Here is a 25,500-nt window from a genome sequence, read left to right as displayed (position 1 = left end):
ACAGGTCAAAGAAAGAATAGGGTGATATTAAAAAGAAATAAAAGAAAAGGGGTAGAGGCTAGGTTGGAAGGATCTGACCCTAGATCAGGACTGAAACATCCTTCACCTTGCCCTGGCTAAGAACTCTTTGACCTAACAAGAGGAGTGAGGAACCCTAGGTGAGGAGGGAGCCTGCTGTTCTGGATGAGAATCCCATTTCTCACTCCTCCCCTCAGGGAAGCTCCCTTTTTGGGTTCCAGTTTGTTGAGATCCCATTAGGCTCTTCCTTATTACCTAGACAATAGCCAAAATGTTGACTGGGTTAGCACCCCTGCAGCCACTCTTCAACTCAAGAGGCAGTGGGGCTGGGATTCACTGTACCACAAACCAAGCCCACCTTTGTACTTGCCTAGCAGTTACTGCAGATTCAAGTATAAACAAAGACAGGGATAGAGGAAAGTTCAGTGCTCGTGTTTGAAGGAGTCAGATATGGAAGAAAACCAAACAGGCTAACGGGAAGTTCTTTTCTGGGAAGAAGATGCCAAAGAAGTAGCTCTGAGGGAGTCTGATGCACAAGACAATGCCCATTGTCAAATCTCAAGACTCACAAGTTTGAAGCTACCAGGTGACAGCAACTTAGGAGAGGCACACACAGCTGTCAACCTGATTCACCCAGCCCCAACTACAACATAGATCACCGCTTCCATGCAGAGTCTGACCGACAAAGAGGCTGGGGGTCAGTCAGACAAGACCCCACACCCTAGGGACATGGCCTTTCCGAGCAGAAGTGACAATTCAAAATCCCTTGTGTGCATTGCTTTGGAACAAAGAATATTCCAAATAATCTTAATTAATTTTCTTTGGGCCAAAATGAAGAGTCAGGTATAGAGTTGAGCTCCATCACACATGGGAGTTCAGGACTCTTTGTTTGTACTCAGGAGTCTCAGAGCCCAGGCAGAGTATGATTTCCATGACAACCAATACATGTATAAGGCTTTGATGTTAACAGCCACATTCCGGGAGAAGTGGCATAACATTTTAGGTTCTGTTATTTCCAAGGGGGAACTTCATGGAAAACCTTAAAGAACACTGCTTTGTGGTTATAAAATTCAGAACAGAGTGGTTACAAGCTTATCTTCTTACACAAGGGCCTATATTCCAGTAAATGTTCTCATGCTTCATCTCAGGTTAGATTTGATCTGCACTACACCTGAGAAAAATCTCCCATCTTCCCCACCTTTCTTTCCACCACCAACTATTAATTAAGAAGGCTGAGCACTCTGGCTCTGGCAGGGTTTTATTAGTCCGTCAGAATGTAATAGAAACCATGTTTCATAGGCATGTAGGACTTAATAAAATAATACAGATATTAAGAAAATTATGAGAAGCCTATAATATTCTGCCTCTGCAGGGTTTGCCAGAGGTGGGTTCCAGGGATCCAGAGTAGCAGATTGTGTCAGCAGTTTAGGGAATCCTGGCGACAGGAATCTCAAAGGCTTCAGTCCATGTGCAGTAAGTACACTGGAGGCTGGTGGAAAAGTAATGGGAATAATGTCTACTTTCCATGAGCTGTGGACTTTATAATCATTGTCTTGTCTTACCCTCATGGTTTCTCATTGAAATGCTATTAATTCTACTTTATGGATAACTGAGGTTCAGCAATAGTTGGTAACTTGCTCAACAGCACACAACTAATAAATAAGTGATGCAGCCAGGACTTGAGCCTTGATCTGTTTGACTAGAAAGCCCACATGTTCAACAACAGGGTCATTATGCCTCCAATTATAGGGACAGGGTGTGGAAAACAAAGACCAGTATCAAGGTTCACTTATAATAGTAACACTTAAATATGGAGTCACAAGCTCACATGCCTGTACGGTGACATAACATTCATTAGTAATATGGGTTGGGTGAAAGATGTTGGAGTGAGCTCCGAGGTTAGCTGGGGAACCCCATAACCCCTCCCATACAACCGTCAGTATTAGATCTACCAAAATTTTCAAGATAAATTAGAAATCTGATTTTCATATGAAAACTTTCCATTTTGAAAAAAAATGGCCACTAGTTCATTCTGAACCCCTGCAGGCCAAATGAAATACACAGTGTGCTATTCGATGCCGTCTGCTCTGGGCCACACTCACCATGAGGGTGGTGTGTCACCTCTGTCTTCTTTACTCCTATATTTCAGGCCTTAGAGCAGAGTATAGGAGCTTAATAAATATTGGTGCAACAAACAAATGAACTCTCAAATAAACATCAGGGAGGTGAAGAAGAATCAAGTCCTGGCTCTTGGGTGCAGTCCTTTCATCAGAGCCCGGGCTGCCCATGCAGGTGGGAAAAGTGTCACCGAGAACTAGCAGCTCAGTAATGGCTGAACTCATCCCCATTGCCAGTGACTTGCACTGGGGGCTGGGGACTGCTCACATTGTCCCTTCCATAAGGCAAAGTTGATCTGGGAACTGGGGTAAGACTGTCGCACCTCCCAGAATCTGGGGCTGTCAGGGCAGGCAGGGCTAGGGCTGAGAATCTTTAGCTATCTTTACTAATCTAGCCCTAGTTATGCAGTCTGTGAAATGAGATGAATGGGACTACAAGTCCAAAACATGGAGGAAAATGATGAATTAATGGACAGTGAGTTACTTGGCAACTGTTTAATGCTAAGTATGGAATGCATCCTATAAACGTGTTCCCAACAAGATTCTAAGTAATCTTTGGAAACCCTTAAATATTTCTGATGAATAAGTTAGAGGAAATATATTCACAAAGGCATTTAGCAGTGAAAACATGCCAAAGCCTCCATCTGCCATAGTCTACTTTCAAACGTGAAAAGTAGCTCTTGTTCTCTCTGCTTTGAATATTTTGTAGGTATACGCTTTTCAAAAATAACCCCAAATCCATAGTCAAGTAAACACTAAGTCCTTATAAAAAGTGCTTTCAATGCTACAACTAGACTTCAACTATAAGGCAGACCTCACTGGCAGGAGTATTGCTCCCAGATAACAAAGGAAATCCCTTGCAGCCAAGCTGTCACCAGCTGCCACTAGCTAGAGTGCAGACCCAGTAGATGCGCTGGTTTCCTTCGTGGAGCTGTGACCGGGATGTGAGTGAAGCTCTGGTGCTTTCCACTGATTTTACCTCACTTTGCATTATTGTCACAATTTGATGCAAGATATTCTGGCTTTTCCAGGCCTTGGTGTTGGCATCCCTGGGGTGTGAGGTTGCCAGCCACCTGTGTGACTCTTGTGTCAGGACATACCATCTTCTCCTCCCTCCCAAAGAAGCTGGTCTTATTTCTAGCTCCCAAACTGGGTTTGTGATGGAACAATGTAATATTTTTTAACTAAAGAGACAGTATTACTCAGAAGCTAACTGTCTGTCCTTTCTAAGTCCCTCCCTACCCTAGAAATGAGCCTTGCTTGTCATCTTTGGCATGACACTCTCGCTAGGGTCTCCCCAAAATTCATATAGTGACATTTTAATCTCTAAGGTAATGGTGTCAGGAGGTAGGGCCTTTGGAAAACAATTTGGCTCTACCATTATGAATGGGATTAGTGCCCTTATAAAAGAAGCCTGAGAGAGGCCCCTCACCCCTTCCACTACATAAGGCCATGGCAAGAAGGCACCTTCTATGAGCCAGAAAGTAAGCTCTTACCAGACACTTAATGTGCCTTAATGTTGGACTTCCCAGGCTCCAAACTATGAGAAATAAGTCTGTTGCATCTAAGCTACCCAGTTTATGGCATTTTGTTATAGTGGCCCTAGCAGACTAAGACAACACTCCCCTGAGCAACCAATCAGAGTCCACTTGGGATGACATTAAAACCATCAACTTCACTATGCAATCATCCCAGAAGTGTCCCAGAGCGCCTATCACCTTACAGTTTCAAAAATAAGAACACTAACCTTTAGGAATAGGGGGAGAAGACTCAACAGGCTCTTCTGACGCTCAATGGGGCTCTTGTGAGTCAACTGCTGGTATTCCAGAAACTTCCTTTCCAGCATGTCCCAGAGAGCTGTGGGGCTGGAGGACTGCCCTCCATGTGGGACATCAGGCTGCACAGCAGCAAGCTGCCCTTCATTTTTGGAACCTGGGTCTTCATTTCTGTCTTCAGCCTTTGAAAGATCTTCTGCCTCCATGCCGTGGCAAAGCAGATCTGAATTCAGAACAAATAGAAGTGAACATTCCTGTCACATCACTTCCTGATGATTCTGGCTGTGGATAAGGTACTGTACTCACTCAGCCCAGTTTCTATTGAAAATGGTTCCCCTAAGAATCTGAAACAGACTAAAATAAGGAAGCCTTTTTAAAAAGGGGATTCAGATTTAGATGTGATTAATACAAGTTCACAATCTAGTGTGTGCCCAGCACTGTGGGGTCTTATACACAAGACTCAGACAGACTCTCCTACAGCCACACAGACAGATGTGTGCTCTTTTTTTTTTTTTTTTTTTTTTTGAGACGGAGTCTCGCTCTGTCGCCCAGGTCGGACTGCGGACTGCAGTGGCGCAATCTCGGCTCACTGCAAGCTCCGCTTCCCGGGTTCACGCCATTCTCCTGCCTCAGCCTCCCGAGTAGCTGGGACTACAGGCGCCCGCCACCGCGCCCGGCTAATTTTTTGTATTTTTAGTAGAGACGGGGTTTCACCTTGTTAGCCAGGATGGTCTCGATCTCCTGACCTCATGATCCACCCGCCTCGGCCTCCCAAAGTGCTGGGATTACAGGCGTGAGCCACCGCGCCCGGCCAGATGTGTGCTCTTATTCTCTCTAGGTAAGTAAGGAAACTGGGCCAAAGGCATACAGGCAGCTAGACGTCAAGTTGAAATGCAAACTTTCACACTAAAGCCTGTTTGGGGGGGGGGGGTGTTGTTTGTTTGTTTTTTTTTCACTTGTTGCTGCTTCTCTTTTAAAAGGCTGCATACATAAAAGAGATGTAAATAGTTCACTGGTATTTGTAGAGGCACATAATTCTATATCTAGAACTTCCTTCTATGATGGGTCTGTAAGGATAGATTCCTCATTCTAAGCATTATTTGGTTTATACTTGATATTTTTAGAGTATTTTATTCTCAAAATGACCCTTTAAGTCCCCAAGCTTACAAGAGCTCATCTCTAAGTGCACACAGGAGCAGTGTTTGCAAGTTGGGAACCTCAAGCCAGTAGGCACAAGAACAAAAACTTATGCGATGAAAACAGCCAAGGGCCAATTCACCAATAAGTGACCTCCCAAAGGTACACACCTTCAAAAGTTGTCAGTCAATTATGACTTACACCATAACATAGGATAGTTTATTGTTTGTTTGTCTGCAGTTCAGTAAACTCTCAGAAGGGACCAAAATGTTCAGGATCCCTGAATAAAAGCCCTCACCAAACTCAACATTACCACGTAGGAAGCCATCCGGGTGCCCAGCAGGCATTCAACAATCACAAAGTAGTGACCAGAGGGACATAGAGAAGTGGGCTCCCAGTGTTTTCCTCTTGGCTACAGCAGTGGTTGGGTTACATCATGCTTTATTTTTAGCCCAAACACACATTCCTTGAAGGCTAGAATGGGGTTTAGCCACGTGACACCGGCAAGGATAACCAGCCCTCTCTGAAACATTCTCACTCTTTATGTGCAGAACCCAGCCTTCCCCCAGCTCCTCTTCGAGCACACAGACTGCTTACTCTCTGACTTTATTTTCAGGAATAATTTTCTTATTACAAAAGCCATGTCAGTTCATTGTCAAAAACTGGGAGGAAACAAAAAATCAGGAAGAACATAATGCTTGCCCATACCCAGAAAACATGACTGCTGACATTCCAGCTTCTATCTATGAATATATAGTTTAGTAAGAACACGATCATAATATTGTTGAAGCAAACTTTATTTATACTTTTGCTTCTGTTGGGCACTGGGATGGGGTTTTGTGGGGGATTAAGTTGTTTCTTTTGGGGGGCTAACTCTAAGGGGCAGGCAGTGTGTGGAGTTGCTCACATCCCTTAGCCTTTTCCCTGATCTGGGTGGGCTCCTGTCTGGCTGTGTTCATTTATTTCTTTATCACCAGGACCTCCATTCTCCATTCGCATTCCCTGTGTCCCCACCCCACCCACACTCTCACTTGGTGAGTATGATTCCACCAGCATGGAACTTACAGAGTATGACACACAGCACCTGATTTCCATCCACATACACTTAAGTTAGCAAATGCTCTTCTGCATCTTTTCTGCTCTTACTCTTTCACCCAGCATTATGTCTTCAGACTCCACCACGTGTCTCTGTGTTTGTCAAGTTCATTTCCTCTAACTGCTACCTTGTGTTCCAAAGTGGGCATCACATGCCTATTTTACTTGTTGGCTTTCTCTGATAGATGGCTGGATTAGCCACAACATTCAGTCCAGCACACAGGGCTGGGGTGGACATTGCTGCGTGGGTCCCTTCACTGGGCTTTCATGACTGACTCTGGGTATGAAGGCAGGGGCAGCAGAACTGAATCAAGGGAGTATGACTGCTCAGTTCAACTAAGTTCCACAAACTAAGATGCCTCCAGAAAGCGGGCATCAGGCCATCTCCCCCACAGCATCTGAAGGCTCTTCAGTGACCTCATTACCACCCTGCTTGGCATCACCCAGCTTTCCAGTGTTTGCAATCTGATTGAAGGAAAGAGACCTTGCATTGTCATTTTAATTTGCATTTCTCTAAGTTACTAATGAGTATGAGCATCCCTTTACATGCCTGTTAGCCTTTTGGCATTTCTCCTCTGTGAATTCACTACTCATAACCTTTGCTTATTTTTTCCTTGCTTGTCTTTCTCTTGCTGCTTCATGAGAGTATACTCTAGAAGCTGGTCCTTTGTTAGTTTTGAAAATTACAGATATCTTCTCTCAATCCATTTTTTAATAAATTAGTCCATAACTTTCTTTGTAGTCAAAACAGCACATCATGAATATTTTCCACATCACTTAAGATCCTCAATGCCTTTATTCTTAATGGCTGCATGGTGGCCATAGAGTAATGTTGCTTGTTTATTTAATAAGCCCTTACACTTAGGCACTTAAGTGATATCCAATTATTCAGTACTATAAAAAAATACTGTAATGACAATCCTCATGTCTAAGTCTTTTTTATATATTCATGATAAAATAACAAATCCTAATCCATTCCTGAATTTCTAAAAGGAAATAGTTGGATCTAAAGATAGATAAATTTTCCAGCCTCTTGATCCATATTTCCAAACGGCTGCTCCTGAAACACCAATCCTATCAAGGGACAGACATTCCTTCTACATAAGTGTACAAGAGCTCGAGCTTCCCTATGTGTAATCTTTTTTTATTACCCTTTTTTTTAACCCTGATAATTTGACAGGTAGAATAAAATCAAAAGCAAGTGCATCTCTGTTGTTTCTCACTGCGCATTTGCTGCAGAGTGAGGAGCTAAGTATGTTTCCATCTGAGGCTCGGTCTCCTGCAGAGCTCCCTGCAGCTGGTGTTCTGGAGTCAGACTCCAGTGAGTTCTCATTTCATGGGTTCTTTGTAAGGAGGTCTCAGCTATTCTCATGGCTCTAATTACCACTGAGAGCCACATATCCACTAAACATTAGCTCTGTGAAGGCAAGGATGTTATGTCCATAGCAGGGGCTGGCACAGAGTAGATTCTCAATAAAATGTTATTGCATAAACGAATGAAAGTATAAATGAATCCGTGAACGAATTAACCTACGTGCTGATGGCACCCAAATCTCAATCTCTCTCTCTCTCGCCTAGACCCCTCTTTGGAACAAGTTCATTTTTCCCACTCCAAGATTTCTACTAGGATTTCCCCAGGACTCTGAAAGCCACTGTGTCCAACCAAACTGCCATCCCTAGCACCAATAGAGCCAGCCCCAAGCCATGGTAACAGCAAGCTTAGTGTTGTCTCTACCATATAAAGTTCATTCTGTGGCCACACCTGCAGGCTTTACTAACTGGCTCTATCAGTAAACCATGTCTGAGGACATGCTAACATGCCCCATCTTCAGGACCAGCAAGTGGCAAGTCAAGTGAGCATCAGGCAGAATATGGAACTGCGATGGGTGGGGACTTAGCTGGAGATCCAGAGAAAGGATCAGAAACCGCCCAGCTCTCCTCTGAAGTGCAGAAGCCACGTTTGCTGAAGTGAAACACTTGACTCACCTTCACTTGAATCGGCAAAGATTTTTGATAAACAAGGATTTCTAACTAATGCGGACCCCTGAAATTGCGTGGCAGCAGCATCTGACTCAAATGCCAAGCTGCAGCTGCCCCACCTCCTGCTCATCTGCTGATCGTGCCACACCTGCTCCAGTTTTATTTGAAAAGAGAAGGAAACAGGGAGTAGGCTTGCAGGCCATGTGAAGAACAGCAAGAAAAAAACACTCTCATCCGTCTCATTCTCAAGAAGTGCCCCACCTACAAGCCAGCAGCCTCTTCTTATCCAGGGTGAAAAGGGACCCATCGGGGCTTAGGGTCACTGTGGGAGTCCCAGGCGAGGCCAGGGTGAGGGTAGGGCAATGAAGGAGGCACTCACCTCCTCACAAGATTTAAGGAGGTGCCAAAAATGATAATTTTATGCAACAGTTTTAGAGATCAAAGTTAATGTCAAGAAATCCATGATGAACAAAATTTTAAATAAAAACAGGATCCAAACCTGTGCTTCCCAACCATCCCCCAACTTCACTCTCCACTGTGGGAACTTGAGCTCAGGGCATTTTTCATAAAAATCAACCTGTTAAACAGACACCACGTCTGGACCTTGGCTCCTGGGGATTCTACTCTCAGACATGTTTGGCTCCCAGCACAGACTCTGGGGCCAGACTGCTGGGGTTTGAACACAGTGGGTTTAGACCAAGTGGCAAGACCCATCCCTGCCTCATGGTCCTCATTTGTAAAGTGGGGATGACAACAGGTTCTCTCACCAGGGCCCCTCTAGCATTAGTCAGCTTGGCACAGGTCACTATTAGGATTAAGGGAATGCATATTTACTGGCACCTACTTAGTGCAGGCATTTACATGCATCTCTTCATGTAATCCTTCTGATATCCAGTGACAGCAAAGCTAGCAGCCTTCGTCCACAGCTGGTACTGAGGTGGGAGCAGAGAGGTGACTTGGCCAGGGTCCCTTCGCCAGTCGGTGACCAGAGCAGAAGCCCCCAGGTCTGTGGACAGCCCAGGCTTTGCTGCCCAGCACACCCCCAGCAGTGCACACAGGCAGCTGGGCTCACACTGTGGCTGCTTGGGGCTGAGGATGGGGAGAGGGGCTTGGCAAACTACTATACCCGGTCACACAGGCTGGGGAAGACTTGCTACCCTGGAAAGGTTCTTGGACAGGTGGGCTTTTAGGGGAAGGGTTCAGGGAAATATGGCCTTGGCAGAGCAAGAGGCCAGGAGGCTGCAGGGAGTCCCAGAGCCTCCAGGAAAAGACAAGACCACTCCTCCCTGCCGGCCGTGCTGTGTCCCAGCTTGGATGGGTTCAGGGCACATGGCATTCTGGCCCTCCACATCCCTGACCAGCCAGGTTGGAAGCTCTGCTCTCCTGAGGCAGAAACTTGCCTTCTCACACAGCCACGAGGCAGAGGGGGCAGTGGGGCCAGGATGGGAGTCACAGGCAGGGGTCCAGGTCAAACTTGGCCCCTGTGGTGTCTTAACTGAGTCACTTCCCCTCTCTGAGACTCGGCTTCTCCTCATCCACATGGTCCCGGTGATCCCAGTCCCTCTCTGCCCTTCCTGCATGAACAATGGGAAGAGGTCCAGCATAGTGAGAAGCTGAAGGGCTGCAGGGACCCCCACAGGAGCCCAGAGTCTGTGGGTTGTGTGTATGTGATGGGGTCTCCCCTTCCTCTGTGCCATGTGCAGGGAACCAGATGGCGAGCCTGCAGGGACCCAAGAGGGAGGGATTCCCTGTGACCTCAGCAGCACCAGTGCTGGGAGTGGCCATGCATGCCCCCAGGTCTCTTGGTGTCACTATCCACCCTCACCCTGCACCCCACCCACCCTGCAGGGATACATAGCATCATCAGAGCTCGCTCTGCATTGTAACAACCCACACCAGGCATTCTGCGCACAGCGGCCCCAATGAAGGGTAACATCTGGAGCATGAAGCAACTGCTGGGTTGCTGATATTTGGGCTGCTAAGTAAACATTTTGATGACTGTTTTCATCCCTGACTTTCTATTGAGTGATTTGCAGAGTTGGGAGTCTCAGAATGTGAGATGTGATCTAGCAGCGCCCTTGGAGCTAAGATGCCAAGAAGCTGTTCCCAGGAAAAGCTGCCCCAGAGCAAGAAGACATGTGGAATGACCCAAAGGGTTAGCTTGGGACTCAGTGCCTTCTGCAGAAAAGCTGGGGCCTGCAGACAAAGAGTTGCTTTGAAAAAATTAAAGATTAAAATTCTTTCCCCATTTCTTGTCAGCCTCTGCAACTATTCTCATTTCCAGATTATAAACTCCAGGTGCAGAAACTGCCTGTTTGCCATCTCCATAATGGGCCATGGCCCTCAGGCCTTGGAGCTGGGGAAGCCTCTAAACCAGATGATACAAAATAGAATAGTGGCTTCGCATGCATGGCCGTAAATGATCTGTTTTCCTCTCCATGCAAAAGCCAGTGCCTCACTGCTTGTCAGCCGATCCAAACACTCTCGCCCCTGTTTTCAGCAGAGTCTTGGCCTCAATCTAGAGCGCTCCAAAATAAATAAATAAATAAATAGCAAAGCCATTCTTGTTCCTAAAACATGTTCAGGGTGGGGCTAGTGCTTGCTTCCCTCTTCCCCATGGTTTCACATCAACAAGGAGACCTTACAATCTAAAACCAAATTAAAAAGAGGAGAGAGACAGAGGTGATGTACTATGAACAGCGTTCACATCTACCTGCACAGCTGACACTGTCAGAAATACTGAGTACGGACAACAGCATCATCATTAGGAAAATGATGATTAAAACAAGATGCCAGGACACACCAATTAGTATGTCTTCAACAAGCAATCAAAACTTGATGATGGCAAGGGTGCAGAGCAACCACCACTCTCACCCTTGCTGGTGGGAATGCAAACGTGGCACTGCCACTTTGGAAGGAAGTTTGGCAGTTTCGGGGAAAGTTAAACATACCCCCAGGAATTCCACCCCTAGCTATTCATCCTAGAGAAATGAAAACTTATGCTCCTACAAAAACCTATACATGAATGTTTCTAGAAGCTCTGTTCATCACTGCCAAAACCTGGAAAAAACATAAATGCCCCTCACAGAATGAATGAATAAATGAACTCAGGTCCATCATCCATCCATACAGCAGAATCCCTCTCTACAGTACAAAGGAACACACGGCTAACACCCACAGCACCCTGGCTGCATCTCAAAGGCCTTCTGTCAGCTGACAGAAGCCAACCCCAAGAGGCTACCCACTGTCATATTCCACTTAGAGGACATTTTGGAAAAGGCAAAATTGTTAAGGAGAGAAAATAAGATCAGTGGTTGCCAGGGACGGGGGATAAGGGGATGACTACGAAGGCAGGATGGAATTTTGCGGGGGATAGAAATGTCCTGTTTCTTGAAAGTGGTCAAGGAGGAGTGTGTGGGCTTTGGAGTCAGCTGCACAGAACTTGCTATTTAGTAGCAGTTCTGAGCTATGGAGCTGCTCTGAGGCTCTTTTCAGCAGCCATCAAATACTGCTAGTATTTGCTGCCTCATGGTGTGTTGCTGTGAAGATAAAGAGAGATGATACAGAGATGAAAATGCAGAGCCACTATGAAGTAAGCTTTCAGGAGGAGGAGTTACTTGGTGGTGGTCACATGACAGTCTACATTTGTCCAAAGTGTGCACTAAAAAAAGAAAATTATTTTTATGTAAATTGTATTTCAGTAAACCTGACTTTAAGAAAACATGTACAGAGGTGGAAAGAGAATTAATGGAAAAGCCAGAGGTGGGGATTTTAGTCCCTTGGCTTCAGCTTTTATCCTGTACAGTGGGGATGGAAATCTCTATTTAATCAAAGCAGTGACTTCCCTCCCTGAGAGCTCACTTTATAGTAGCTCTGCATTTTTATCTCTGTATCATCTATCTTTATCTCCACAGCAACACCCCACGAGGTGGTAAACAGTAGTATTTCACAGGTGCTGGAAAGAGCCTCAGAGTGGTTCCATAGCTTCCCACGGGGCCACCAGCCAAGTTCTGTGCATCGGACTCCAAAGTCCACACGCTCCACCTTAACCACACTTCCTCTTTCCTCAAGATGCCACCAGCTGGGGACAGGTCAAGGCTCCTGTCCACAGAAACCACCCTCAGATAAGAACTCACTCAGGGCCCTTCCTTGGCCTCAGCCTCCACGTTGGTCAAGTGGGGAGACTGTCCTTTAAGTTCTCATCCACTTTTGCATCCAATTAAAAATACTATGTTTATTATTGATTGTTACATCAAACTGGTTGAACTAATAGACAAGGTAGGTCAATTACAAAAAGTAAAAGTATACCCAAAAGAATTGAAAGTGGGGACACAAGCAGACACGTGTACACCCATGTTCCTAATAGCATTATTCTCAATGGCCAGAGGGTGGAGACAAGCCAGTGTCCAATGATAGATGAATGTGTAATCAATGAAATGGAATATTATTCAACCTTTAAAAGGAAGACAATTCTGGCACATGCTACGACATGGATGAACCCTGAGAGAATTATACAAAGTGAACTAACCAGTCACAAAAGGACGAATGCTGTGTGATCCACTGATATGAGGTCCCTGGAGCAGTCAAATTCATAGAGCCAGAAAGGTGAATGGTGGTTCCCAGAGACTGGGGAGAGGGGTGCATGGGGAGGTAGCGTTTAATGGGCACAGAGTTTCAGTTTTGCAAGATGAAAAGGTAATGGAGCTGGATAGTGCTGATGGTTGTACAACAACGTGAATATACTCAATGCCACTGAACTATACATTTAAAAATGGTTACGATGGTGAATCTTATGTTATGTTACTTATAGATTGTGGTATGTACTACAATTATAAATTCATAAATAAAATCAATAAATAGATAAAAGATAAAGGAAGAGAAAATAATTCATCCAGTTTAATGACCACGATAAAATCATAACGATAATAGCATCTATTGAGTGCTAGCTCCGCACTAGGCCCCCTGCCAAAGGCTGTGCCCACCTAACGTGATTTAATTCTCCCAAAAGCCCATGGCACAGGAACTGTCATGACCCCACACACTCCCACCCCCAGGTGGAGATGAGATGGAGGCATGGTGCGTTTGCGCAGCATCCCTGGGCGTGCTCACGCAGCTGGTGTTCTCAGGAGTGAGAATTCCCTTCTGGGCCAAGGCTTCAGTAAACATTTGCCACATGATGGCATTGTATTGGAGGGATTATGGGACGCCAATTACAGAAGCTCTGTGTTCCACACCTGGGTTAGTTCCGGGAAGGGAGGAACACTATTGTAAACAAAGGGGACACAGATGAGACCCAGTGACAAGATCAGAGAAATCAGGAGATAGAAGTAGCTTGGAGGACATAAGACCCTGAGAATTTGCAGAAACTGGGCAAGAGCATTGGAGCTCCTGCAGGATGTGGTAAAGGGCCCCCAAAGCACAGTCTACATAACGTACAAAGCAAAGGAGGGAAGTGTAGGTGAGGGGACTCATGTCAGTGGAATGACAGCCTCCAGGCTTTCCTGTGGGCCCTTGGGGAAAGAGCTGATTGAAGGACCAGTGCTCTGAGACTCCCTTTGAGATGATTCGCCTGCTGATGGCCAGCCTTGGGGTGGTGCTGGGAGGTGAACCTTCAGCCTAAAACCTGCCCTCCTGGAGAAACTGTTCTGAAAAGCAGTGGTTCTAAAACTTCAGCATGCATCAGCATCACCTGAACAGATTGTTAAAACCAGATTTCTGAACCCCAGCCCCAGAGTTTACAAGTCAGTAAGTCTGGGGTGGGTCTCAGGAATTTATACCTCTGAAGAGTTCTCAGGAGGTGAGGAGGCAGCTGGTTCAGGGACCACACCTGGAGGACCACCACCTGAGGAGAAGCCTTGGAGAGGGACTTTGGAAGCAGAAGAATCCTATCATCTAGATTTTACCTAGCATTACTGCAAGCCCTGATCACCCCTCACCCTCACCTCTCAGCCCAGAGAGTAGACCAAGAGGACAAAAACAAAAAGCACAGTGTGAGAGGCTAAAGTGTCTCAGGCAAAGCTGGAGTTTAGCCTTGTTGGGAGCTTAGTGTGTGGCAGGCCAGCTGCACTTTTGCATTTTCAGCCTGCATGATGACTCCAAGACGTGGACATTAGGGATACCATTTTCAGATGAGGAAACTGAGGCTGGGAGCAGGAGCCTGCAACTCACTGAGGTCCAGATCTGTCTGCCTCCAAAACCTCTCCACCACTCTCCCTCTGAGGTTGTCTAGCTCCTCCAAAACAGGAGCCCCTCCTCTCCCCACTCTCCACTGTGGGGAAAGTCCTTGCCCACATCGGTGATGTATTAACTGACAGCAGGAGCTCTGGTGTGTATGCGTGTGGGGTGTGAAGGGGACAGGAGGGACACTGGATGTTACAATAGGTCCCTGTGCCTCTGCCCCTGCTGGCTCCGAAGTCCCCATGCTGCAAGCCCCAACACTGAAAGCTCTGAACACTGAGTGTGTGATCTCCTTCTCTGCCTGCTGTCTCAGAGTGGCTATGGCCAGGCCCCACCCTCTTCTCCATGGTCACCCTGAGAGCCCTGTCCATAGACATTCTGCTCCCTCCACCTCCCACTTCCCTCTCCTCACCTCCCAGACCTCACCTCCCCCTGGGGCAAAAACCAGGTGAGCGTGGCTGTCTGTGGAGGAGGAAATGGAGACGTGGCAGGGGCTGTGAGCCCTGTAGCATGTGCTTTCTGGGGCTGCACGGGCCGGCTAGGTCTATAGTGCATTTCATGAGAGACCTCTGATCTCCTCCAGAGTTGCCAGCGGACTGATTTCGGACTCACGGCAACCCTTCCCTGAGTCTCCAGTCCACTCTGAAGATTTCAAACTTGCCAGCCGCCACAATTCTGTGAACCAGTACCTTAAAATAAATGTCTCTCTGCCTACACACATGCACACATCCTATTGTTCTGTTTCTCTGGAGAGCCTCGGCGGATACAGCATGGCTGTCCTGGATAAAGCCCTTCACCCGCCAGACCTGTCCACATTTCCCATCAGCGTTTATTGAACCAGTACAACTTGGCATGCACAGCGTTAAACTTTGCCTTCTTAGAAGCATGAGGCAAAGCAGGAGCCATATTTGGGGTTGTGGATAAACCCCACACCTTCAATCCGTCTCCCCCACTGAGAATAAATTGAGCAAAGACTGAGCATGATACGGTCGACAGAGGGCCCCCAAGAGAAAGAGGTCTTCAGTGTCATGCCAGAAGTGGGGTGAAGGCCTCTTGCCCCTCACTGTTCCTCCGGGAGGCCACTGCTGCTCAGAAAGAGCATTTCATGGAAATCTTGGTCTGATCTGCACAGGCAAGGCCCACCCACTAGAAAGCTGGAACAGGACTGTCACAGGGGCCTTGTCACTGCCACAGCCACAAGCTTCAAGCCCTGGCACGCTTGGGAACAGGAGAGTGACATCAGAGTGCTTCAAATGTGCAGGAGATTGGTGTAATCTCCCACGCTAGAAGACAGACATCGTGGGCAGGCAAAATTGGAACCTGGCATCAAGTCCTGCATTCCGGCTCCTGCTCCTCATGCCATGAGCTGTGGAATCTCAGAAGTGACTCTCCACAGTGCCAATCCTCGTCTGAAAAAATGTGCTGCTGGGAGACACCAAGAGATGGCCTGTCGAGAAGCAGGTCACAGGAGAGGCTCTGTAATGGACAACGCATCCCCTCCTCGGAGGCCATCTCAAGAGCTGGGGCACAGGACCGTAGGAGAACAAATGTGCATGGGGCCATGGAGGACAGGCGCACCCGTGGGGATGGAAGGGCTACTCAGAGAAGGCCAGGCAGGAAGCAAGCTGGAGGCAGACATGCAGCAAACAGGCCAAGGTGACATGGGGGCCGTGGGACAAGATGCCACCTAAAGTCATGTGGGACCAGAAAAGGGAGGCCAGCATGGTTAGACCTGGCATTCTGGGTAATGGGGAGACCCTGGAAGTACTAAGCAGGAAAATGGCCCAGGAAACACCATTCTAGAAAGGTTGTCCTGGCTGGCAGTAAACCAAGCCTGGAACAGGAAAGAGAAGAAGAAAGAACAGCCAGGAGGTATGGGGCCATGATCACTCTGGTTAGAGGGATTGCCTTAGAAACAGAAAGAAGGCGGGACCCTGGAGATAACCCAACGAGATGTGCATCTGACTCCAAAAAGTCACACGTGCATCTTTGTTAGATGCACACCTGCACATCAGATGCCTGGTGAGCTTGGAAACAGAGCAGCCATCGCCCACCCAGGCCACTCACCAGATCACCTTGGAGGCCGGGTTCCCCAACATTGTGACTTACTTCTGAGTGGCGCCATGTGTAAGTGTTGGCTACAAGGTCTAAGGTGATTGCAACACGTCCCCAGGTGAGGCCAGGGGCCAGGAAGACACGGGAGGCTAAGACCCCCAGAGCTCTGTGATGCCCAGAGATGTGGGTGGCTCATAGAACATCACAAAGCAGGTCGGGAAGGGAGCTGGGAGCCCCTGCTAGGTCTCTACTGCTTCATGGCAGGGCCTGTTGTCCAGAGCCCTGACATTAGCTCCTAAGTTACCTGTGAGCTGGGTGAGACCTGAGTGTTCCAGGCCCACCTCAAGTAGCTCCATGTATCTAGGAGTGGGCCTGTTAGCCTGGGCTGTGTGACAACCTCTGGCCTTGACTCGCTGGTAAGCACCACCACCACCCTGAACCTAGTCCCTCTGGCCAGCCTGACCCCTCCTGAGCTCCAAGGCCAGGCCAACCCAGAGCAGCATCACATAGATCAGATTCAAATCCCAGCTCCATCTCTTCCTAACCTGTAACCTTAGCGACTCAGGCTCCCTCAACCTCAATGTCTCCAGCTGTAAAATGGGAACAATATCGTCCTTGCAACATTGCAGAAAGAATTAAGCAAGCCAACATATGTGAGAGGGTGTCCAGTACATGCTAGATGCCCACAGAGTGCGCACTGCATGGCCTCTTCTGCATTCTGCACCTTGCTGCCTCGAAGCTCTTAAAATCTGCACTTCCCTTGGGAGCTTCAGCCCACATGGCCTTTGTAAGTGTGCTCTGGGGCCTCCATCCATCTTTGGGGTTCAGCCCCAAGGTCTGAGTCAGCTGCCCTAGTCCCAGCCTAGACCCTTCCTTTTGCCTTCATCACCTCCCCCTGGGCTGGCCGCTGAGTCTGTCCAATCTCGGGTCTCCTCACAAGGAGCTGGTTTGTTGGATGTCAGGACAGGGCCGTAGAGATGTGGGCCTGAGCATGGCCAGACAGTGCTGCATGTGAGGATTTGGCCCTGGCGAGGACACAATGTGGAGACACGAGCAGGAGGGCTGCCTCCAAGACCAAGCCTGTGTTGGGGGAATGCCACATCAGGGCCAGGTGGAGTCAGGGGCAGCCTTGCAGACAGCAGGTGGGAGAGCAAGGAGTGGGCCACTCAGGAGGTTCCCTGTGGGCCCTGCATGGCCAGCACCTCCTCAAGGGAGTGCCAGGAGCAGGCGCAGCTGCTGGACTCACGATAACTCCAGCAATCACCTCGGTGCGGCCCTAGACATCACCAGTCAGCGAGTGTCCCCACTTCTTACCTGGGCCAAGGGCTGAGTGTGCCTGCTGGCAGAGAATGGCAGGGCCCAGGGCCCTACACCTGCTTCAAAGGACTCACGAGGAGACTGAGGCAATGCAGGTGTTTTCCAGAAGTTCAGGGGATCCCCTGAAGACTAAGATGGAGACTCCCATTGGAAGGAACTAGGCAGGTCAGCAAACCTTCCATGGCTCTCAAAACTTCCTCTTTCTGATTCCAGTCCTCACTGGGCTCCTGGTCAGCACACACCTCTATGGTTTTTGCAACAGCAACGGAATACAGGAACTCACAGTGTCCTGTGGAAGGGGCTGGTTCTGTATCTCGGTATGTGTACCTACTTCCACATTGCCAAAAATGGCCAGGGAGCAGTTCCCCTGGCTGGACCCCTACAGTTTGGCTATGGTTGAGCTATCATGATGGGGACAAAGACCTGAGTTGGAGACAGCACAGGTTACAAGAAGCCCCAGTCCCTGTGGAAAGGTGGTGAGCCTCTCCAAACTGGGAGCCGATCAGGGCTCGGTCTCCACTGAAATGTAAGAAAGTGTTCCCTTAGGTAAGAAAGGCCATGGAAAAGTGACCATCTACTAACAGAGACATCAATGTTCTCTACTCTTAGAAAACCTGTAAGGTAGGCATTACTATTCCCACTGTACAGATGGGTAAAGCGAGACTCAGAAAACAAGTAATGTATCTGAAATCAAACAGCTGACAAGCATCAGAATCAAGGTCAAACCCAGGTTCCCTCTTCCAGCACTCAAGGTTGGCTTCAGGCAGTGGTCAGTGGTGGTGGAATATGCCATGGTACTAGCTGAAGCCTGCAGTGTTGCAGGGAGTCCCTGGCTGGACTTGCATAGTTGTTGCTGACCCTCAGCCATAGGAGATCCAAGCCAGACCTGCTGTCTGCCCGCAGCTCACACAACAAGCTGGGAGGCCCAAAACAAGACTCTGTGGTTGCACTGTTGCCCCAGAGAAAAGCAGATCCCTGGGAGCCTCAAGGATAAGGGTTCATTAGCCTTGGACAACGTGGACACTCCTTGGCCAGCATTCCCTCCACAGATACCAGCACACTCAGTGTCAGTCATTTGTCCTCCAGGCAAAGCCACTGGGGCTACTGCTCTACTTGGCATGTTCCGTGTAGTGGGTCTCTGGATTATTAAACATGCAAGGAGCAGGATCACCCTCTGTCCACACCCTGGACTTCAAAGCTCAGGGGGAGCAGGGGGCCAGCAAGGAAGCAGATGCAGTGGGACAGTCATTGGGCAGGGTGGTGGTGGCTGTGGGGCAAGAGGAGGCTTATGGCCCAGACTGGGGAGGGTGGAGAAGTCTGGGAGGTCTTCTTAGGACATATGGTGCCAGTGGTGGACACTGAAGAGTAAGGATGGACCCTGGCAGTAAGTGGACAGGCACCCCGGGCAGCGTGAGTGAGTGTCTGGCAAATGGCACAGGTGTCCAAGAAAAAGCAGGGACAGGGGCTCAGGGGTTGAGTGAGTGCATGGTGAGAGGGCCCTGCAGAGAGTCCGGAGTGGCAAGCCGATGGACATGGACATGGTGCTTGTCTCACGGAGCGGTCCTGGGAATCACTGTGGGGCTCTCAGCAGAGAGTGACAGGAGCAGCTGGCAGCTGCCTGTCACTGGTAATTCTGCCACCAGGAGCTCACAGCCTCCTGGGAGAGGAGACGGGTAAAGGGATGCTCTAATACATGGGGGTGGAGGAGGCTAGGGGGTGGTGGAAGAGGTGTCACAGAAGCAGGGGCTTTGGAGAGGGAGTAGGAGGGAAGTAGAAATAAGCTACCCAGTGGGCAGGTTAGAGAAAAGAGGAGAAAGAAATAAAGCCACAGGAGAGGCTGGGCTTAACTAGACCTGGCTTTGTCCAACTAGGAGGGATATGAGCAGGAACAGGGCAGAAAGCTTAGCCAGGGACTCTATTAGGAATGTCTCCAGACTCTGAGCAGCCCCCATCTGATTCCTCACCCTCCAAACTCCCAGAGAAGGAAAATGACAGGGGAACTTTGCAGGATCCTTTATATCTCACGTGCTAAGGTAAGAAAGATTTTGACACATTTCCAGATGGCTTGGTTTGGTCACACAATCATCCCATTTAGCTGATTAAATTTCAAGAATAATTTGATCAGAATAAAGACACAAAAATCACAAGTGAAACTTTGAAACATATCTGGAAGTATGCATGCCTGGCTCCTCAGGAATTAAAGATCTCTTAGTTCTCCGGATTCATCAAAGCACAAAAAAGTGAGGGCACAAACCACCTACGTCACAGATAGAGTGACTCATTTTCTTGAGTTCCCTGTCCTCTCCTGTGCCAGGCCAACCTGGACCCAGAAAACTCTGCTTTTAGGTTAAAGAGAAAAAGAGACACTTTCAGATACAGCTTGGCTCCTGATGCTTTTCACCTAAGAGAAGAGCAAGGAAATATACTGCTAGCCACTAGAAGTGGGGGCTTCAGCCTCCAAGCTGAGTCTCTTTGCTTTTCTGTGACTCAGTTTCCCACCTGTAACATGAAGCGTTTAGAATAGATGCTCCTTAAAGAGGTGTCTGCCAGTGAAGTTCGGCTGTTCAAATTTGCCCAGGTTCACAAGCTTCAGATTTCTCCTCTGAGAGCTGAATATTTGTTTAACCAGAATGAGTCTCCCACAAGCTGGCAGACCTCTTAATGTACCAGGAATAATTTTCTTAATTATTCAACGTGCCGAAGGAGGTGGGAGGATGGCATCTGAATAGAACAGAAAGGGGTCAAGGGGCCTGAGAATGCCACTTGCTTGGGTGACACAGGTCCTCTGGGCCTGCCCTGTATGAGGCTGGTAGGCCAGAGTGGGCCCGGCACCAACACCTCTGCTTGCTCATCTGTCCCCTGGCTGCACCATAGCAAGTCTCTGCCTCCAGGCTCCCCTCCACCTCCCATCCACCCCACACTGTCAGACTTTACAGCACAACTCCAGCATGTCCCTCCCCTGAGCAAACGTCCTCCGCAGCTCCCATGTTCTCTGGGAAACTTCCCAAGCTTGTGGCCCTGATGATAGGACTCAACCCCCTCCTTGCCTAATTCCTCCCTGCACCCTCAGTGGGGTTAAGCTGAATCCACTGATCACTCACACCATAACCCCTCTGCCTTCAGTCAGGCCACCTCCTCTGCCTGGAAATCTCCCCCTTCAGCACCACGGTCCAAACATGCCACCTTCCAGACACAGCTCATGGCTGCCCCCCTCAACACAAGAAGCAACCCTGCTCCTCTCCACTTTCAAACTGCTCCCACTATTGGGCCATCCTGCCATTAGAAGGCAGCCATCACCAGCAGGCGACAGCCCCTTCCAGTTTTCAAGGCTGCATCAAGATACGATCTCAGTAATTACAATGGAACAGTGAGGCAGACAGCGGGCAGCAGGGCTTTGATTGTCCCATGTACAGGAGAAAAGAGAAGTTAGGCAGTGAAAGCCCTTGGCTGGCACAGTCAGGCAGGCCACACAAGGGTTGGCCTGCATTAATTCCCAAATCAATCATTTTCCTCAGTGCCTACTGCCTATAACAACTGCGGCTCCCATCCCGTTCCTCCTTAATGTCATTGTTATTCATGAATACGCTCTCTTTCTCACTCTTGTATTTCCTCAATTCAAAGTCTCTATCGATTATAAAATGCTACAGTCATTTAATTAAAGCACTTTGGGAGGGAAAATCATCACATTAAATACACACTTCAAAAATGAGATGATTCAGACACTTGCAATTGTGTGAGGAAGGAAGTGTTTTGTGGAACAAAGGCAGTCTTCCAGGGTGGTGATTGTGAGGATCCCGCCCACTGGCAGAGGTGTAGACTCACCTAGGGGCACTGTCCCGCCCTTCTGTTCCTGTCACTCGGATAGGGTAAAGGTGTCCTGGCCCACAGGCCCACAGGTGTGTGAGGCTAAAAGGAAATACAAGAATCTGTGATCTGACAGCAGGGCAGTGCCCTGGGCTTTTCCCCTTTTGAATATCTGGGCATTTGCCACCCTGATCTGCCTGGCCATTCAATCACCCTACACACCACTCGAAGGCTGAGACCACGTGGAGCTGCTATGCATACATTGGACATGCAGGCTTGGTTCCTGGTTGGCTTAGGAGCCTGTGCCCTGAGGCTCACACCCCCCATCCTGGGCTTCATCACCCTTTTAATTGCTACCCTCCTCCTTCTCCTAAAGAACAGGCATTCTCAGGGCAGAGACTCTGGGAACAAACAGCTGCAGGGGTGCTCGACCCTGCCTCTGTTATAGCATCTGCCACCCTGCAGCCTTCTGCACACAGGGCCACTCTCCCTGGATTCTGTCCACAGTTGATCAGTGGGTTCCTGACAGCGTGTTTTAACGTTACTAATTGCTCACATGTTTTGGCCATCCTCCACACAATTTCTTTATGTGTACATACCTTTATCTTTGACTACATTTCCCTTTCTAGTTTGTGCTTATCCTTTTAAAAGTCGATATTAGAGCGCTACTGAGAAATTTTCTTATTATTACATGGAAAACACAAAAATCAACAAATATTTCTCTTTATGCCTACTAATTTTCACATCCAAGTGATGGCAGCAGCAGGAAGTCTGGTACGGCCACTGCCATCATGCCAGCCACTGCAGGGAGGGCAAGGGGAGGAGGCAGACAGCCCCCCAACTCCAGCAGCCCGCTACGCTGGGGGCTGCCATGATGGAGCCAGGCCGGGTTGCCAGCCGGCCAGCAGGGGAGCAGCGTGACAGGAGAGCAGCATGGTCAGGCAGAGAGGGGTGCCAGTGTGGAGCTAGGGTCAGGCTTAGGGGCCCGGGTGGAAAGTGGGAGTGGTGCCCACTTCGGGGACCCAGCCAGCCCACACCAAGGGTGCTGGGCTCCTGCGCCTTGGGAGGAGGCTCTGCACAGGACACCCAGGGCAATGTCTCAGTCTGCCACCCTAAGTCAGGGTGACCACCGAGCCTGCCACTTCCCACATCCAGCCCGGACCCTTGATTAGCTCTGCCCCAGTGGGTCCTGACAGCCTTGGCAACAGGGGGAGCTCCTGTTGATGTTGCCCCTGTCCCAAATTCTGGCCTGGACCCAGTGAGGATCAGGAGCCCCTGCCTCAGGCTGTGATGAGGGGAAGGGGTTGAAGGCCACTTGCACTGGCCTTCAGGTATCCCTTGGCATGAACAGCCAGGGCACCATGGAAGGCAGCAGGGGGCAGATAGGCTCCTGGGTGGAGTGGGGGAGGGCCCCGGTAAGGTCCCACCTTCAAGCCAAGGAGGGCCTGAAGGCTGGGGGCTGGGCTACCAGACCCACAAACCAGAGTGGGGACTTGTGTTGTCTTTTTCAGGCTGCTCATGGCCACCTATGGCCCAGTTGGCTCTCATTTCCTCCCCTCTGAGGTCCATAAAAACCCTGGGTTCAGCCAGAACAGAGCAGAGGATGGAGAGACGACTGGATGACCAGCTGCAGGGAGGAGTTACTCTCTGCTGAGAGCTGGGAAGATTATAGGAGGACCAGCTGCAGAGAAGAGCTACCTTCTCCAGGGCCTCCTCTCTGCTGAGAGCTGCAGACGTAGGGACAACCAGCTGCAGAGAGGACATATCCCCTCTGCTGAGAGCTGAGTGCTCATCAGGACAACCTGCCTATAGAGAGAAGCTACCCACTAGGTCTCCTTTTAGCTGTTCTAACACTTAATAAAGCTCCTCTTCATCTTGCTCACCCTCCACATGACTGCATCCCTCATTCTTACTGGATGCAGGACAAGAACTCAGGCAAAGGTGCCACTGGCCACAGAGGTTTCTGGCCAGAAAAAGCAACACCCCAAACATCCCATATCACAAGTATATTTTGCTTGTAATTAATGTGAAAATGATTTGATTGCATTAATCATCCATCATATCATAAACATGTTCTACATTGCCCTTTTCCTTAAAGTATCAGACCTAGTGACCATGGAGCATCCTCCTGATGGATCACCCATAATTGACTCTCACTCTGTAATAACTGGATGCTCAGATTGTCTCCACTGCTGTCATGGGCAATGCTGAGGGGAAGGATCCCTGCTGCAATGATTTTGTTTCCTATGAATTCTCAAAAGAAGAATTAATCATTCAGCCAAAAGGGAAGAACCACTGTCATACTCCTGCCAAATATTCACTATTCCTTTCTAGAAGTGTAGCTTCTTCAGCCCTTTAGTGGTAGTGTGGTCTAATGCAAGTGCACAGGCTTTAAAATCAGGTGGAACTAGGATCAAATCCCAGCTCAGTCACTCACTCTTCAAGGGCAAAGAACCTTACATCTCTGAGTCTCCATTTTCTCATCTGTAAAATGGGAATAATGAAACTTATCTCATCTTGAGGATTAAGTGAGCTTGCAAGTACAAGTCCCTGGTTTATTTAGGTACTAAACCCATTATTATTAGCTTGTATATTTTCTTTCTCCTTGGAATTATTTGGTTCAAGTGGCTTTTCACTTCTCCTACCTCTCATCCATCTCAAACTCTATTCCCATGAAAGCCTCTGGCCATAAAACAAGAAGTATCATTCCTCTAAAGGCTGCTGTCCAATAGAAATATTAGAAATAGAAAGCCAGGCACAACTTCCAGCCACATGTGTAATTTCAAATTTTCTGGTAGACACATTTTAAAAATAAAAATAAATAGGTTAAATTAATGTTTAAAGTATATTTCACTTAACCCAATATATCCAAAATATTTTCACTATGTAATCAATATTTTCAGGTACTGAGGTATTTTATAATTTTTTGTTGTTAGTTTGTAACATCTTTAAAATCTGGTGTGTATTTCACACTTACAGTGCATCTCAATTCACATCGGCTACATTTCAAGTATGGCTAGTGGCTTCTGTATTGGATAACAAAGGTCTAGACTTTGATATTTAAGTTTTTAAGGAGTGCAGATACCTCAAAGGGGACTGGCAGCCAAGGGTTTAGGAGATATCATCTATCTGCATTTTGATGGTTTATAGCACTTGGAGGGAGATTACAAATGCAAGCCCCTAATTGTAAATAAAACGGGTAGCAGCTCTAAGGTGTGGCTTTAGGAACTCTGAGAAGTTCATTTTCCTTACCCTCCTACACAAGATATATTCCTTCTTTCTGCCAGTTGGCCAAGCTGCCTTGCTTGTCTACCATGAAGTTCACTGGGGTGGGGGTGGAGGGGGCCAAGCCTTCATTTCTTCACATATTGTCTAACAAGCATCTCCATCTTTGTATGACCAAACTCATATTTCTGCTTCTACTTCCACCTTCCAAATCTGCTTCTACTGCCCTCAAGCCAGCTCAGTAGGTGATAATCTCATTCTTCCTGTTACTCTGGAGTCATCTTTAGCTTCTCTCTTTCTCCCATGCTCTATACCTAAAATGTCATCAAATCCTACCCTCAAAAAAGTATCTAGAATCTGACCACTCTGACCACCTGTCATTATCTCAACTATTATCACTTTGGGGCAAGCCACCACCACCTCTAGCCTGGGTTATTGCAAAAGCCTCTGAACTGATAGTCTTGCTTCTTCCTTTGGTCTCCTACAATCTTCACATGACACCTAAAATGATTCTTGTTTAAAATGCTTGCATTTTGAACAAGAATCAGTCCAAATAGCAACAGTCCAAAAATGTATTTTAATGACAATTGACACAATATAAAAATATAAACCACTTAGGGATATGTCTAGTCAAAATATGCACTACTGCTATAAAGAAAATAGTAACATTGTATTTAAATACTTTAGAGAAGACCTAAATAAGTGGAGAGACAGACCACGTTTATGAATTGGAAAAGTCATTTTCATAAAGATATCACTTCTTTCCAAATTATATTTCCAGTCAAATCTGAACATAGTTT

At 47.9% G+C, this 25,500-nt stretch overlaps 1 protein-coding gene across 12 annotated transcripts in view; it reads right to left on the bottom strand.

The window, feature by feature from the left end:
* Nucleotides 1-25,500, bottom strand: part of WDFY4 (WDFY family member 4) — a 298,084-nt gene that overhangs the window by 269,108 nt on the left and 3,476 nt on the right. For 9 of the 12 annotated variants that reach the window (NM_001394531.1, NM_001370153.1, NM_001370154.1 and 6 more), the window contains exon 2: nt 3,883-4,133. In NM_001394531.1, the coding sequence (NP_001381460.1) occupies nt 3,883-4,116 (234 nt within the window). In that variant the 5' untranslated portion in view covers nt 4,117-4,133. Of the gene's footprint in view, nt 1-3,882; nt 4,134-21,493; nt 21,578-25,500 lie in introns of all 12 variants that reach the window. The other 3 variants (XM_011539988.3, XM_017016463.2, XM_047425565.1) reach the window with 1 other exon arrangement.

This window comes from Homo sapiens, chromosome 10, assembly GCF_000001405.40.
Source record: "Homo sapiens chromosome 10, GRCh38.p14 Primary Assembly".
In the NCBI taxonomy this organism is placed as follows: domain Eukaryota; kingdom Metazoa; phylum Chordata; class Mammalia; order Primates; family Hominidae; genus Homo; species Homo sapiens.
This window is presented reverse-complemented; position numbering and strand designations above follow the sequence as displayed.